Genomic DNA, 16,356 nt, shown 5'->3' on the forward strand with positions numbered 1-16,356 from the left:
TACTCACAGTGGAGGCAGGAAGGGCAGCATTCGCCTTCCACAAAGGATGGACTGGCGCAGGTTGCAGGCGGGCAGGTGATTTGGTGGCAAATGGTTTTAAATTTCTACAAGTGAAGAAAGGCATGCATGGAACACTCATTTAAAAGGAGGGGACGCTGGTACAAGGGCTGAGACTAGAAGGGGTCGACAGAATGGCTGAATGTTTTCCATCCTACGGACCATACATTACAGAGATGTGAAAATAAGGGCATCTTTTTCTCCCATTAGTGCTGACAGCCTAACAAGAACAGGGCCCCCAGATGGCTCTTTGCATCCATTCCATTCCTTTCTCCCTTCACTGAGCAGCAAGGATGCAACAGAGAGCTCCAAGCTTCCTGGAAGGAGGGAAGAAAAGACGGGCAGCAGGAACTCCTGTTATCTAAGGTAATGCTGAGGCCATTGTCAGCAGAAATAGAGTAACATTAAAAGCTAAATTGTCTGTCTGTAAGACTTCAGGCAGTGGCTTGTATTTCCCCCAAACGTTTCTGCTGAGCCTCAGGCTCTGTTGGAACCGGATGGAATTAAATGCAGAGTCTAGGGCCATGTCTGGCTTCTCTGTTCCTCCTGTTTCTAACCAACTGGGGACGCTGGCCAGGTTGCTCCCCCTCTCTGGGCTCTGGTTCTTTATGTGCAAACAAAGAGGTTGATTCAAGTCCTAAATACGGTTCCTGGCCCTTCTGTGTTTCTTACACTGAAATTTCCTCACATAGCTGAACCGGTTTCACACATCAGCACTGAACGCTGGCATTTCCAGGCAGTCAGGTTCTGCCAAGTGTCCGATGGTGGCCTCTTCCCCCAAGAGCCGTGTTCTGGGGCCTCACCTTGCAGGTACACGTGGTGCAGCTGTCCACCACCCACGTTTCATTTTCCGCAAAGAACCGGCCATCCTGCCAGCAAGCTGACATGTTCCTTGTCTTAGGAGGGCCACCAATGAGCTCCCAGAGAAACTGGTTATCATTCGACTGGAAAATCAAGTGAAACATTTAAGTGTAGACAATAATACTACATATTTAGTCATCATGCTTGTGGATGAAAAACAAAGTTCCTCCTTCATTAAAAAGCTCTAAAGTCAAGTAAGACTTGACTCATCCCTGGGTGGAAGTTCCGGAAGTTGTCCTCCATCCTCACGGGGCTTTCTGAGCCACAGCTTCGTCACTGCCTGGGCTTCTGGGGCTCCCCATCCACCTGCCTTCCTGGAGAGCGGAAATCGCGTGGCTCACATCACACCTGGACCAGTGCAGAGCAACGCTGGGGCTCCTTCGACTGGGGACGCCAGGTGGGACTGGGGTGGGAACTAGGTCCCCAGGCAGCAGCCATAACGACAGGCAGGGATACAGCCAAGCTCCTGCCCTCGCCACCCTCCCTGCCCCGGTCTCCTGCCATCGACCCCCTCCCTGCCCCAGGCTCCTGCCCTCGCCGCCCTCCCTGCCCCGGACTCCTGCCCCTGCCGCCCTCCCTGCCCTGGGCTCCATCTCCTGGCATCATTTACTTCATGCCCTCTGGGTACGAGTGACAGTCAGCATCACTGCACCCTGGTTAGCCATGTGTATGTTGTGGGGCACCGTGGCCCGGAGCACCTCATTATGTTCAGTCCCTTTCTCTAAACTGCGAGCTGCCCGTCCTGAGCCCCGCAGGCATCGCTCTCTCTTCCTGGCCGCGCTGTGCCGCTCAAACCCATTTCACTCCTGCCAGCCTCACAGGAACTTCCCGTCCTGCCTCTTCAGCTATGCCAACATGCAGTCCTTGAAATAAAATTATTTTCCTCTGCAGGTGTGTGTGTGTGTGTATGTGTGTGTATGTGTGTGTGTATGTGTGTGTGTGTGTGTACACTCATACCTACAGATTTACCAAGGAGGTAAATTTCCCAAAATTAAGAATTTATTTTGGAGACTGTGCCCAGGACTGTTTTCCTTGGGAATACTTCCCAAGATCTACCCAACTTCCCTCTAACAATGCTGAATATTGAGCAAGGATCCTGAGGAGCCCGGCAGACACCTCCCCTGTGAACTGTGGGTTTTTACATCGAGCATGAGGCACTGCCAAGCCAGGGAATGTTGATACCTGCTGAGATGGGCCAGCGGCGGAGCTGCCCATGCCCTATGACCCCCGCGGCCCCTGCGTGAGTACCCACCACTCTCTTGAGGTTCTCGCTGAGCTGGTTCACGAGGACGTGGAGCCCCGAGAGCTCCTGGACCATGTTTCCCAGCTCCTCGCACGAGCGTTCGCACACCTCGGGCCTCCTCTCCGAGCTGGGGCCCACGTACTCGGTGGTGACATGCGGACCCAGGCGCAGCGTCTCTGTGTTCTCACTGATGGCGTTGATCTCAGCTGAGGGCAAGCGTAGAAGGGCCGTGAGCATCACAGAGGACGGGGCCAGCAGCAGGGGCTGGGAACAGAGGGAGGATGACCCGCCCTGGCTCCCGGAGCGGCCTGGTGCTGGGAGACACAAGGCGGAGGACTGGGCCAGCAGCAGAGGCCAGGACCACAGGGAGGACCATCTGCCCTGGCTCCCAGAGTGGCCTGGTGCTGGGTGACACCAGGAACAGCAGGGACAGGGGACAGTGGCTATTTCCCACGCTGCCACATGTCACAGAAGGAGCAGAGCAGAAATTAGCTCAGGAGTGGGGAGACGCATCAGCATAGGAGAGGCCTGCACAGTCCAAACGCAGGAGCACCAGTGGCCACGCATGTCACTCAGACCCAGGTCCCCTCTTTGCAAAGCTTCCGACCACAAATCTGCTTCTTGAACACATCCCCCATATGTTCTGACGGCTCCTCTCGACTCTTCATCCTTTTTTTTTCATCCCCAAACACCCTTTCTTATGGCTCCTTGCTCTGCTTTAAAGAAAATTCACTATCCTCTTGCTCAAACAGCCAGTCCCCTTGAGACTGTGCCTTGCTCCTCCTGGCCTTCCCACCTTCCCACTGCTCCTAACTTCCCACCTTCCCCCAAATTCCCACCTTCCCACATTCCCACCTTCCCACCGCTCCCACCTTCCCACCACTCCCACCTTCCCACCACTCCCACCTTCCCACCACTCCCACCTTCCCACCTTCCCATCTTCCCACCTTCCCACCACTCCCACCTTCCCACCTTCCCACCTTCCCACCGCTCCCACCTTCCCACCTTCCCATCTTCCCATCTTCCCACCTTCCCACCACTCCCACCTTCCCACCTTCCCACCACTCCCACCTTCCCACCTTCCCACCTTCCCACTGCTCCCACCTTCCCACCTTCCCACCTTCCCACCACTCCCACCTTCCCAGTGCTCCCATCTTCCCACCTTCCCACCACTCCCACCTTCCCACCTTCCCACCTTCCCACCTTCCCACTGCTCCCACCTTCCCACCTTCCCACATTCGCACCTTCCCACCTTCCCACATTCCCACCTTCCCACCTTCCCACCGCTCCCACCTTCCCACCTTCCCACCACTCCCACCTTCCCACCTTCCCACTGCTCCCACCTTCCCACCTTCCCACCACTCCTACCTTCCCACCTTCCCACCGCTCCCACCTTCCCACCTTCCCACATTCCCACCTCTCCCACCTTCCCACCTCTCCCACCTTCCCACCACTCCCACCTTTCCACATTCCCACCACTCCCTCTGAAGCCCTAGATCGTGGGACCTGGGTGGGTATGGCATGTAATTTACAAATTGACCTGAGGCGAGTCAGGGACGGAGGCGGGGTCCAGTCCTCAGGTCAGCGGGGCCTGCGCAGTTGCAGTCAGGGCCCAGGCTCTAGGCCGGAGCTCACCTCACCCCCATGTAGGACCCTGCTCCCTCTCAGGGGTGAAGATCCCATCTTTGAAATGCCTGACTTCTCTCGGACAGTCCATTATTGAGGAAAGACTTAGACATTTTACAGCGCTGTCAGGCATTCCGTGATTGAGTTTTTAATCACTTGGTTATAAACTGTGCTGCAATTCATACTAAGCTCAGAAGCTTCCCCTCGGATTCATGTTGCCCATAACCATGTACAATCAGGTCAATATCAACACATTAATAGAGACAAAGAAACCACCCTGAGTGGATTTTACCCAGCACACTAATCTTTAACTAACCTAGGGTATTTGTTTTTCATTCCTCTAAAAGTTAAACAAAAGACCGCATATATCTTTGCTTCTGCTCTGGCTCTGACAGGAATGTAGTTTTACCTGGTAGTAAAACCTTCCAGCTAACTTGCATTTCTCCAGGCTTCTGCCAGTATTCTCAGTTGTAAAATAATAATGGCTCAGCCTCTTCACAAGGTTACTCTCACTTTTAACAAACAGTGGAAAAGGGGATGTCATTACCAAGAACCAATCCATGAACTAGCTGTTTGTATAAGACCAATTTTCCTTAAGTCTGACATAACCAGTGAAGAAGAAGTCTTTGTTGTGTTGGCAAAGATCTCCAAATGGGACATTGGCATCCACCTGGCTTTGAGTAGACTAACTCATGGGTGATTGCCACATATGGTCCGGTAGATATATGTATATAGATCCATACTTATTCTACACATCTGGAGATAACAGATCTAGATTTCTCTGTGTTTTTTTTTTTTTTTTTTTGGAAGATCTAAGAGTTTCCCATAAGTTTTAAAGGTTTGCTTTTGATAGTTCCAGGGATTATTGACTTGTACCTGTGAGCCTAGGAAATACCTGCTGAAGGAGGCTGCACCTACTAGGGTGTATGCTGGTAACACACACACACACACACACACACACACAAGGTGTTTGCTCACATAGAGGTGTAAGTCACGTTTGTCATAGTAGGTTAGTTTTACTCACTGACCATTATGACAACTGACTCAACATGCCATGGACAACCTTAGCTCTAGTTTAACTGAACCCACGTGAAATTATAGTACAAACATGTGATTAGGAACACCGCGAAGGGTATATTTTCTTTCATACAAAGAATATTTGCATATATGTTTTGTTTATAAAAACAATATTTTTCTATATTAGTGAAAATACACACGCACGCACACACACACACACACACGTATACATATAAATATATCAGACTGAAAAAACATTATTGCAACAAAAAGTACCCAAAAGCCCCACAGCCAACTGCACCCCAGGAACCCCCAGAAGAGCACTGCCTCATGAAGCTGAGGCCCTGGCACGCAGAGTGCTGGAGCCAAGATAACTCTGCCTGTGCTGCAAATCACCCCTCAGGTAACAGGCACAGTGAGGGTCGTGGTGGGGGTGACAGTTGGAGCTGGAATGAGGGTTGGTCTTAGAACACCCTTCTCCCTGCATTGATGATCAAATGTCTCCTTGTTCTCCTTCCTCACAGGACGTGCACAAGGACCCGGACCTGCAAAGTGTAACTGAAGAGTGGGCTACGCACCCCGGTTCTGAAGTAGGCGGTGGGATCACAGAGTCATTGTGCACCAAAGATACCAAATCTCACATATTCCTGATGTATAGATTCATGACATAACAGTTTACGCTTGTCATAATTTGGAATTGAAATGGCCTGGCCTTCGTGTGCACACGGCCACACCGTGTGGCAGACGTGAGCTCCGCTTTGAGGCTGTCAGACAGACCCAGGCAGCAGCCCTGCTCCCTGCTCACTGGGGAGCTCAACATGGCAGCCACACAGCACTCCCTTGGGTGCCAGCCTTCATCTTTGTAAAATGAAGAAAGTGAAAGTGCCCATCTCACGTAGTCATTCTGAAGATTAGATGATGTACGGCATTTAATGAACCTGTCATAGTGACCTTCAGAATTAAATGCTCAAGAAAATATTGGAAAGTGTGCTTGGAAATATGATTCACAATTGTAACTAACAGAAAAGATGAGATCATCTGTCAATGATTTAAGTAGCATAGATTTCCATCATATGATGGAGTCAACAACTATGAACAGTATAAGAAAACTTCTAGGCCGGGCGTGGTGGCTCACACCTGTAATCCCAGCACTTTGGGAGGCCAAGGTGGGCAGATCACGAGGTCAGGAGATCGAGACCATCTTGGCTAACACGCTGAAACCCCATCTCTACTAAAAATACAAAAAATTAGCTGGGTGTGGTGGCGGGTGCCTGTAGTCCCAGCTACTCAGGAGGCTGAGGCAGAAGAGTGGCGTGAACCCAGGAGGCAGAGCTTGCAGTGAGCCCAGATCGCACCACTGCACTCCAGCCTGGGTGACAGAGTGAGACTCTGGCTCAAAAAAAAAAAAAAAAAAGAAAACTTCTGTAAGTCAAGTTCGACAAATATCTATGACTTTCCTTAGGCAGACAAGCATCACACATTAATATACTGGAAAAGTTGTCTATATTTCAACTCATATTAAAGCACCAGCTATTTATATTTTGTCTTCTATAATAAAATTATTTGGATGATTAAAATCTACTTAAAATTAACTGTTTAATCAATTTATTATTTTCAGATATCAACATGTCTAAGTTGACCAGCTAAGTCACTCAAAGACAATAGTGGTAGTTACCCAAATATTTTTACTTAAATTTTTACAAGCATGAATGCACACACATACACACACACACATACACCATGTCACAATAGAAATCCATCCAAGCCAGTATATAAAATGCATTTTTCACAACACACCTACCTCCCTGGCCTTGCTGGCAACCCTTCTTGCTTAGAATATCTTCCACAGAGTTTTCAAACACTAGGTGGACGTTCTGAAGCAAACCCTGTAAGTATACACAAGCAGAAAAATAGAGCAACAGATAAACATCCAATGTTTGATGCCAAGCTAACTGACATTCTAAAAATACAAGTTGGAATCTTCAAGTAGTGAGAGTATTTCCTTCTACGTAGCAGGTTTGCAATCTCTTTATAATCAGTTTTTCTGTATATAGTACTTTTGAAATTTTGTTTTTAAGCATGACACAAGAAATGGAAGTGTAATGTAAGAAATCTACCTAGAAGAAGGAAATGTTTCATAAATAAGAGTGAGATGGCCCTTGGAGAGGTGTGGCCTGCTGTGTGTTCTGGGCATGTTCCCATGGACGTTCAAGGCCATTCGTTCCTTGCAAGTCACTCATGATTAGCGAGTTTCTGCATTTGGCAAAGAGGCTCACAGAGTCCCACTGGTCCTCTCAGAGACACAGACCCTGGGCCTGCAGGAGCGCCTTCCGCAGCTGAGTTATGACGGGGCTGGGCCAGTCCTATATGGTATGGAACTCCTGGACACCCATGAGAAATTGACTCAACAACAAGCTATGCATCTCTAGACCTTTTACTCAAATTACTGAGTTTAACCATGTACTTATTTCCAAGGCCCTACACGTCCGGGAGGGAGCAATGTACCATACACCATTGTGATTCTAAAGACCTGCAGTTTAAGATTCATTTCCAAACATATTTTAACCAAAATGGACATGAAACCATTCCCTCATAAATCACTAGCCCTTTCCCTTGGAAAAGGGCACCTGCTACTTTGCTCTCCCATCATTTCGCTACTAAAGCAAACATTTAGGAGTGGTTTTGGTTGTGATCAAAAAAGTCTGGGATTGCTAGAAACATTTGAATAGGGTTGATTCCTTGATCATCAAACCAGCCTCAATCTCAACTGACGATAATTAGTGCAGTTAGGGAAGCACACCTGGGGCAGCCCTCTCTGATTAATCGTGGTTTAGAAAGGCGTGCGTTGTGTGTGTGTGCGCTTGTATGTGGTGTTTGCATGTGAAAGGGTGAGTGCCTGTGTGAAAGTACGTATGTGCTGACAACTGCCTGTGGCTCTGCATGCATTGTGTGTGCACGTGTGCCTGTTTGTATACACATGTGTGATGGATGTATGTGCATGCATGAGTTTGCATGAGGTGTTTGTGTGTATGTATACGTGTGTATGAGTATGTGTGCATTTGTGCATGTGTATGTGTGTGTACATGTGTGGTTCTGTGTATGCATCTATATGATGTTCATGTGTTTATGTGTGGGGGATGTGTGAGTGTATGTATGGTGTTTGTGTAGGTATGTAAATGTGATGTGTGTGACTGTGTATGGTACTTTTGTGCACGTGTGTATGTGTGTGTTCACATGTGTGTGGTGTGCGTGCATTGCATGGCTGTGGGTGGTGTGTGCACACCTGTTTTGTGCACACATGTATAAGTGCTTACATATGGTTGTGTGCACATGTGCATGCATGAGTGTGTTCACATGTATGTGTGTGGTGTGTGTGCATGTGTGGTATGTGCACACGTCTGTGAATGTGAGTGCATGCATGGTGTTTATTTGTGTATGTGCATGGGTGCCCACGTAGGGTGTGTGCACGTGTGTGCATGTGTGTGTTCACATGTATGTCTGTGTGGTGTGCATGTGTGCACATGAGTGTATGAATGGTGTTTATGTGCGTCTGCATGTGCGTGCCCATGTATGGTGTTTGTGTGCACATGGGCATGCATATGTGAGGGTGTGTTCACATGCATGTGTATGTGGTGAGGTGTGTGTGTGCGTGTCTGTGTGTGTGTGTTGCGTGGTGTGTGTACATGTGTGATGTATATACATATGCGAGTGTGAGTGCATATGCAGTGTTTGTGTATATGTCTTTGGATGTGTGTTCATGTGTTTGTGAGCATGTGTGTTTGTGTGTGTGTGTGGTGTGTGTGCATGTGTGCACATGCCTGTGGCTGCGTGTGGTGGGCAGTGTGTGCATGTGCATGTGGTGTGTGCACGCATGTGTGTGAGCACATGCCGGGATGTGCAGTGTGCTTCTCTAAGGCCAGGCTCTGCCTGCTCAAGCATCGCATCACCAGACGCATTAGCAGATCAGTTCCCAGCTAAGCTCTTTCCTCCCTCACGGCGGCCACCTCCCTGCAGAGCGTACCCTGAAGTGACTCTCTCTGGCAGAGCCTTTGGCCACGTACATCCGGCTCTTTTCCGCCTGCAGGTGCTCGTAGAAGGGCTCGTCCAGAGCGAAGCTGTCTATGAGGTCGCAGCCCACGTGCAAGCTGTAGGTCTCGCCAGCCACCTGCACGGTGACGTTCTTCCACTGCGAGTCAGCCAGGCCGACGTCCTCCAGGGAGACCACATGCCGGGTGCCGTCAATCCAGTAGGTGAGATCCAGCGTGTCCGCGGGGCCGTTGGAGACGATCTCGAACTGCCTCTGGGAGAGACCGGGGCCCTCCAGAGCCAACAGCGTGCCCCTGGACTTGCCGTCCTGCTTGAGCTGGGCCGTGAGGAAGAAGCCCTCCTTCTGCCGCATGATCTTGGTGATCTTGCTGAGGTCATCTGCGTTCACCGGTGGGATGTAGTCAAAGCGCACGAAGCGGTAAGCCGGCACGCCGGGGTCGGGCCCGCGGAACTGCTTGGCGCCAATGGTCTTGCGGTTGATGTTGCTGATACTGAAAAGGTCGAAGGTCGTGTCTTTGTCCTGGTGACCAGCTGCAAAGGGAACCGCAGTGGAGAAGGGTGACGTAGGGGAAGAGGGCGAGGTTGGCCTGACCCAGGGTGACAAACCAGAACCTCGCGTGTAAGGAAATTAACGAGGCCTCCCAATATCCCGCAGCTTCTCTCCCTTTTTTATGGGAATCCTGGAGCCACCTCTGATGAAAAGCCACTATCCTCCGTGCCAGTGCCGCTACTCAGAGTGTGGGCCCAACGCAGCTGCGGGTCTGTGGGGTCAGTTTCTGCCCCTGGCTGGTCGAGGAGCGTGTGCCAGAAGGTAAATCGGTGGAGACAGGCAGCGCCCTGTCCGTTCAGCTGGCCCTTTGCATAGCCCGACCTTCTTGGTGAGGGAATCCCGGCCTCGCTTGACATCCTGGCACATGTCCCAGGTCACTCTGTCTGGCTCTTCCATCTCAGATCTGAGGCTGAAAAGCAGCCATCCTGTCTACCAGTTGATTGCTCAGGAAAAAACCAAATAAATGAATAAACTGGGAAAGACATGGATCTTTAGCCTTGCTATTGATAGAGTGTCAGAAAGCGGCTAAATCGTATGTTGCTTTCTTGTTGAGATCAACTGCCTAAAACCAGTTATGTCAGCAGGTTGTTATTTTGTAAAAATGTATTCTCCAACTCTTAATGCACCCTGTGGGTAAGGATCTGAAAGAGTGGTCAGTATCAAGTACAGAAACAAATGGTTTTAAGTCACCACCTAAGCTATTGGCAAGAAAAGTGATCAGATCTCACGAAAATCATAATAGTTTAAATAATTCAAAGCCAGGCGCGGTGGCTCACACCTGTAATCCCAGCACTTTGGGAGGCCGAGGTGGGTGGATCATGAGGTCAGGAGACGGAGACCATCATGGCTAACGTGGTGAAACCCCGTCTCTACTAAAAATACAAAAAATTAGCCAGGCATGGTTGTGGGCGCTTGTAGTCCCAGCTACTCGGGAGGCTGAGGCAGGAGAATGGCGTGAACCCGGGAGGCAGAGCTTGCAGTGAGCCCAGATCACGCCACTGCACTCCAGCCTGGGTGACAGAGCAGGACTCCGTCCCAGAAAAAAAAAAAAAAGTAATACACTGAACAGAAAGTTTAGCCAAAGCCTTCCTTTTCATCTAATATTTAGCAAATTAGAACAGGATAATACACAGGGTTGCTGACAGAAGTGGGCAATGGACCACTTTCCATAGAGTTACTTGGCAAGAATTAAAAGCTTTGATTCAGCAATTCTAATTTTGTAACCTATCCAAAGGATATAATCACAAATGCTACTTAAGATTTATCCACGTCAATATTTTTTGTGTCATCATTTATGCTAATGAAAATAAACCAATCTAAGTGGGAATTGATTGAAAAAGATCAGGCTTTATCTGTGATGAAATATTATGTGGTCATTAAAAATCATACTGTAGAAAAGTAAACACATGGGAAAATATTTAAAGGAGGAAGAAAGTGGAGCAAAAAGAATTCAACAAACACCAAATACTTGCAGTGTTGTGAACATCCTCTATAGAAAAAAGGATAAACTGTGCAACTCTAGGTGGAATTGCATTTTTCTCTAACACCTGAATTTTCCAAAGATAAATTATCTCATGTCATATTGGCTCAGAAGTAAGTTACTATTTGATTTATAAAGGAGCTAGAAGGTCCTCACGGGTAAGATTGTCCAACCACACACTTTATTTTGTCATCTCTCCCCTTGCAGCTAAGCCATATCTCACAAGCCAGAGAGAGACCACAGGCTCTGAGGACACTCACCTTGCGTGCTGGGCCACACCCACAGAGCCAGCAGGACCAGCCTCCAGACCATCCTGCCTCCTGCAGCTGAGCTCCTGGGAATACAGGAAACCCTTGTTAGTGATGAGTCCACAGCTGCAACCCTGCCTGTGAGCGAGACTGGCCCAGTGACTCACATGACCATTGAATAACAGTTTGCATATAAAACTCAGCACCAACTGGATTTGTGGCAAACTGAGAGCGAAGGAGGAAATTTACTCTTCAAGCAGGATTCTTCTAACTATAAGATTTGTTGAGCTAGCATTTGCCGGCAAGCACTGCACATCACGTTCTAAATATTCCTATTATTTCATCTTCATAATAGCCTGGGAGGTATGTGCTGCTCTAATTGTCCTCATTTTACAGATGAGCAAATGGAAGATGGGCAAGTTCAGCGCTTGCCTGGAGTAATTCTGTTCATACGACTCGTAGACAGGACTTAGATGTAGAAAGTTTGAATTTAGAAAAATATCCAGCCTGACAAAAATAATCTGTGAACGCATTTTGTGTAAATATCCAGCAAAAAACAGTTATGCATAACCTAATTAAATAGAATGAATATCAACTGTAAAAAAAAGTTACAAATAAACTTAATTTGGTGAATTATACTTACAAAACAACAGAACACTTGACTTAGCCATCATTTTGACCCTGCCTCTTTATTTTCCTGCAGGCCTGTTTTTCCATTCTTGGGGATTTTAAGTTGGCACAGCTCAGTGGAGGCTGGCCCCGAAGTCAGGAGATGTGGTCCAAAGCCCGGCTGGGCGATTAACCCTGTGGATCTCAGCTTCTCCTCTTCCGGGCGAGCATGAGCCTGAGGGTCCCAGGGCTCCCCAGGTCCCTTCCAGCAATTGGTCACACCCTGCTCTAGGTTGAAGGGAAGACTGAGACCCCAATTCTTCCCATATTTAGAATATCAAAGGCCGTTAACTTCTCATTGTTAATCCAAGGACTCTCCCTCTCCAGAAACAACATTTGGTAACCTGGAAATCCTCACCTTCCAGGAATAGAGAAACATTCCTCAGAAGAAGAGAAATGCTTGGCAGCACCTGCAGACCCCCCACCCATCTGCTGCTGGGACCCCCCCCCCAAACCATCTGCTCCCCCCAGTGCCGCCCCAGGGGTCCTTGGTGATTGTTTCATCTGTCCTGGCTCCGGAAGCAGCACGGCCTGCGGCCGGAGTCAGCACCAGGCTGAGCAATGCTGAGCACCAGCTGTGCAACCTAGGGAAACTTACTTAACTTCTCTGTCTCAGTTTCCTCATCCGTAGAATGAAACGTAGCGTCATGTAAAATGCCCACCTCATCGGGTTGTCATGAGAGATGAATTCGGCAAATGAAACTTCACCAGGGGCTGACTTAGCCCAGCGAGCCACAGGCATGGGTTACCGGAGCAGAATGTGCCTCTGGGTCTGGGGCGCTTTCTACTCTAACTGCCCGAGGCAGCTGCAGTAATAATGGTGGTGCTGATAGGGCCTTTCTATGGAGCTCTTAAGAGGGTTTAATGACAGGAGCGAACACTTGGCCATGAGCTTAGAACAGTACCTGCATGCAGTAAGCACCACAGAACGGTGTTAGAATACACAGCTCAGGTACAGCCTTGGCAGGCTCTTCCCACCTCCCCACCTCATCAGCCCACACTGCCGGGTACGTCGCAGTCCCCTAAGGACAGCTGTGTGGGGCTGGCCCTGCAGAGGCCAGCCAAGAACAGGATGGTAAATGCGAAAGTTCTGGATGCCCAGCTTCATAAGGACAGGTTAGAAAAACTAAATCAAACTCCTTTGACGAAACCAGATCCTACTGTCTCTGCCTTGAGGTAGATTCTTACAAGAGCAGGAGGCTAACAAAGCATCCCCTGCTGCGGATTGTCAAAGGACAGTGAGGCTCCATCCCACAGGAAGGATGAGCAGCCAGGCTACCTGGCCTCAGCCCATCCAGGGACACCGGGCATGCATGGATGGAGCCACGGATGAGCCAGTGCCGCTCACCCCTGCCCCAGCCTCTGCACGCCACACATCCACGTTTATGCTTGTGTTTTTCCAAAAGAAAGATTTCGGTGCCTGTCTGCAGCAGAATGTAGTTTGAATTTGCAAAGGTCTTTTAAAACTCTTTTCGTATGAACAATCAAAGTAAAAGATAGCTTTGCAGAGAGCTAATTGTTTACCGGCCGTCCACCACCAACAGCAGTCTGATTAAACACCAGACTCCTGGGTGCTCAGCTCCCAGTCCTGGGCAGCCAAACCCACCTTCCTTAAGTGGTAGCCAGGCAACCTGCCAGCTCGCTTTTCATATGCAAACTGCCCCAAGACTGTTAAAAGTCGCTGTGTGTCCCGGCAGTCACAGGATTTTCCATAGACTTACCACAAATACTCTCTAGTTATGTTCAAAACCACTTTTCAGCTGCTAATAATGTTAACAATCAGAGTCTCTCTTTAATCTACTAATAATGTTAACAATCAGAGTCTCTCTTTAATCTACTAATAATGTTAACGATCAGAGTCTCTCTCTAATCTACTAATAATGATGTTAACAATCAGAGTCTCTCTCTAATCTCCAGTTACTTTTCAGATATTCCGGGAGTTGTTTCTAATTCTCTCCTCAATAACAAACTCTCATGTGGAATCTTCTTCTTCGGAAACTGAAAACATAAAGCGTTTACCCGGGTTCCCAGGCAGGTATATACATTGAAATAGCAGCAGCCACAACCCTCAGAGAGGAAGGGGTGCCCGGCTGGTGAAAGCACAGCCACGGAGGAAAAGCTGAGGAGCGGCCACGTGCCTTGCTCTTCAAGCGGGCAGTAGAAACACCACGTGAAGAAACACTTGCCATTTAGTGTTAATAGATACACCACCCACCTTAAGTTAAGAATCGAAATTGCTCCTTTTTCTTCTCCGCTTCTTAGAGTTCGAGAACTCTAATTTCTTAAAATTAGAGCACCATTAAATAATTGATTGAGTTTAAGAAATAATCGTACCTGGTTTGCCAAAAAGATGCAGTGATGACTGGTTTCAGTGTTCCGGACCGAGTCAGAAAGGCGCAGGCTCTGCTGGAGCGAGAGACCGGCCCTGCAGTGCAGGATGCTCCGGTGGACGTGGCCGAGCGGCTCCCGGGCAGCGCGGCTTTATATGCCGCTTCTCCTGTGCAGGGCTGTCAATCAGACACACGAGGAAGCACGTTTAATTCATTCCTTCGAAGGAATGACATCATCCCCCTTCTGATCTCACCATTTGCTCCGAGTACCTGCTGCAGGGGTCCAAGTCCAGCCCCTCTGTACTGGATGCCGTCTCCTCCTCCTGCACCCCGGCCCCTGCCAGACAGGCCTGGGAGGAGCCAGACGGAGAGAGGGAAGGCAGGGACTCACTTTTCCTGTCTTCTCTCAGGAAATAAGATGCTATAAATAACACTAGCAAGATTGGCTAGAACTCCTCATTTTGCTTAAGAGAAAAAAATGCAAGTTCTATGCCTTAAATATGTTTCGAATTACTCAATGTGATATTGGTCTTTCTAAACCAAATGAGTGACTCTCAATAACACATGAAATACATCGGTGAGTATCAATAATCAGTCTGTATATTAATAAAGTTATTATGGTCAATAATCAAGTGTATTATGTGACAAAAATGAAATTTAATATAAAAGGAAGTTGCCAACATTTATCTCAGGCAGTTAGAGGACTGAAAAGCTGTACTGCAGCTTTGGGAAAATTCATTTTTACCCAAATTCTGCTTCATTTGCTCAGTGAGGATCCCCTAGAAGGACGTCTCCCAGTGGACGTGCAATACCCGTAGAAGGGTGTGTCCCAGTGGACGTACAGTACCCGGCCAAGTCCCCTTGGTGCACACTTGCACGTGGCCCCATCACAGGAACAACCTGACGTGCAGGCACAGAGCAAGGACTCGAGAGAACGAGAAGCAGTGGCAGCAGCTAACCCCCGCCCCTCCCACACCTCAGGCATCACCCGCAATCAGGGTGCACTCTGCATGGGGGTGGGGGGCACCGCTTCTCAGAGGTCAGGGTGGACGATGGATGCGGAGGGGCTGCTTCTCCCAGGTCAGGGTATACAGTGGAAAGGGGAAGCTGCTGCTCTAAGGTGGGGGTTGATGGTACATGGGGGAGGGGCTGCTTCTCCCAAGTTGGGCTGGACAGTGGATGGGGGAGGTGCCACTTCTCCCAGGCCAGTGTGAAAGGTGGATGGTGGAGAGGCTGTTTCTCCCAGGTCAGTGTGCAAGGTGGCTGGGGATGTGTTGTTTCTCCCAGGTCAGGGTTAATGGCAGACAGGGGAGCTGCTGCTTCTCCTGGGTTGGGGTGGACCTTGGATGGGGGAGGTGCTACTTCCCCAGGTGGGGTGGATGGTGACTGGGGAGCTGCTGCTTTGCCCGGAGCCACCTGCACCTGCTTCATGTCGGCACCTGCCTGTCAGGTTCCTTCACGTTTGTGTGGAGTTGTCAGCCTGGCCATGGATCCGTCAAGTCCTAGTTAGAGAACATTAAAGCGAATTTCTGTGGACACAACCCTTACTGTGTCTGTGGCAGGGGAGTGTCTCTTAAGCCTCCTGGCATTCCCCCACAGGGGTCCAGCGCTGCAGAGGTCGGCAGGCACCATGAAGAGCAAGCCTCACTTTCTGGCCTCTGTCTTCAGGGAGGATATGCGAGCGGGTGTGGGAGAGGGAAGGAGCTTTCATTTGTGAAAACCTCTGTTTTTCCTAATGGCACCTGTTTATTTATCACTTGGCAAACATCAGTTTCCGACACATGCACAGACAAAAGCCTCCAAGAGTGTATGTGTCATGTTTAAGGTACGTTATTTTGCTTTTTAAGCTATTAGGGACAAAGTCATCATTTGAATTAAAAAGTAGTTTAAATAGATTGATGTTATCTCAAATTCAAAAAAAGTATAAACCAGTTCCCCTTAAAGAATTTTCAGTGGATAATTATCCATTCATCAGTTTGAGTTTTTCTGCCTCCAGGTTAGTTTTTCCTGGGGCCAGAACATGGAGGGCGGCATCCCCTACTCTGCGTGCCACGGCCTCTCCTGTTCCTCAGTCCACAGAATGCGTGTTTCCTGATTAAAGCTGAAGACAGGCAGCTCAGCTGCTCAGCACTTCAGGAGCATGCGGTGAAGACCGTGACACTCACTGGGGAGCAGGAAGGTATGTATTCATGACTCCACGTGCCGATGGGCAGGTACAGAGAAGATGG

The 16,356-nt window shown here is 49.0% G+C and overlaps 1 protein-coding gene across 7 annotated transcripts in view, besides 4 other annotated features; it reads right to left on the reverse strand.

The window, feature by feature from the left end:
• The window catches only part of THBS2 (thrombospondin 2), a 38,062-nt gene extending 23,807 nt beyond the window's left edge, over positions 1–14,255 (reverse strand). For 5 of the 7 annotated variants that reach the window (NR_167744.1, NR_167745.1, NM_001381939.1 and 2 more), the window contains exons 1-7: positions 14,133–14,255; positions 11,142–11,215; positions 8,826–9,382; positions 6,606–6,690; positions 2,171–2,367; positions 861–1,001; positions 8–104 (exon numbers count right to left, since the gene is read on the reverse strand). Coding sequence is in view for 5 of the 7 variants with exons in the window: in NM_001381939.1 (NP_001368868.1) it covers positions 8–104; positions 861–1,001; positions 2,171–2,367; positions 6,606–6,690; positions 8,826–9,382; positions 11,142–11,193 (1,129 nt within the window). In the remaining 2 variants the exon portion in view is untranslated. Of the gene's footprint in view, positions 1–7; positions 105–860; positions 1,002–1,899; positions 2,368–6,605; positions 6,691–8,825; positions 9,811–11,141; positions 11,216–14,132 lie in introns of those variants that run through there. The other 2 variants (NM_001381942.1, NM_001381941.1) reach the window with 2 other exon arrangements.
• Positions 292–1,491: an enhancer, noted in NCBI's record as "P300/CBP strongly-dependent group 1 enhancer chr6:169639978-169641177 (GRCh37/hg19 assembly coordinates)". NCBI's record gives its function as "activates an origin of replication core promoter dependent on BRD2, BRD4, P300/CBP, MED14 and CDK7 cofactors, with strong dependence on P300/CBP, by STARR-seq in HCT116 cells {active_cell/tissue: HCT116}" and the evidence as "EXISTENCE:reporter gene assay evidence [ECO:0000049][PMID:35650434]".
• Positions 11,791–12,304: an enhancer, noted in NCBI's record as "NANOG-H3K4me1 hESC enhancer chr6:169651477-169651990 (GRCh37/hg19 assembly coordinates)". NCBI's record gives its function as "activates a minimal SCP1, AML or CMV promoter by ChIP-STARR-seq in naive H9 embryonic stem cells {active_cell/tissue: H9 hESC(naive)}" and the evidence as "EXISTENCE:reporter gene assay evidence [ECO:0000049][PMID:30033119]".
• Positions 12,817–13,329: an enhancer, noted in NCBI's record as "OCT4-NANOG-H3K4me1 hESC enhancer chr6:169652503-169653015 (GRCh37/hg19 assembly coordinates)". NCBI's record gives its function as "activates a minimal SCP1, AML or CMV promoter by ChIP-STARR-seq in primed H9 embryonic stem cells {active_cell/tissue: H9 hESC(primed)}" and the evidence as "EXISTENCE:reporter gene assay evidence [ECO:0000049][PMID:30033119]".
• Positions 13,330–13,841: an enhancer, noted in NCBI's record as "OCT4-NANOG-H3K4me1 hESC enhancer chr6:169653016-169653527 (GRCh37/hg19 assembly coordinates)". NCBI's record gives its function as "activates a minimal SCP1, AML or CMV promoter by ChIP-STARR-seq in primed H9 embryonic stem cells {active_cell/tissue: H9 hESC(primed)}" and the evidence as "EXISTENCE:reporter gene assay evidence [ECO:0000049][PMID:30033119]".

Source organism: Homo sapiens, chromosome 6, assembly GCF_000001405.40.
Source record: "Homo sapiens chromosome 6, GRCh38.p14 Primary Assembly".
Taxonomy (NCBI): Eukaryota; Metazoa; Chordata; class Mammalia; order Primates; family Hominidae; genus Homo; species Homo sapiens.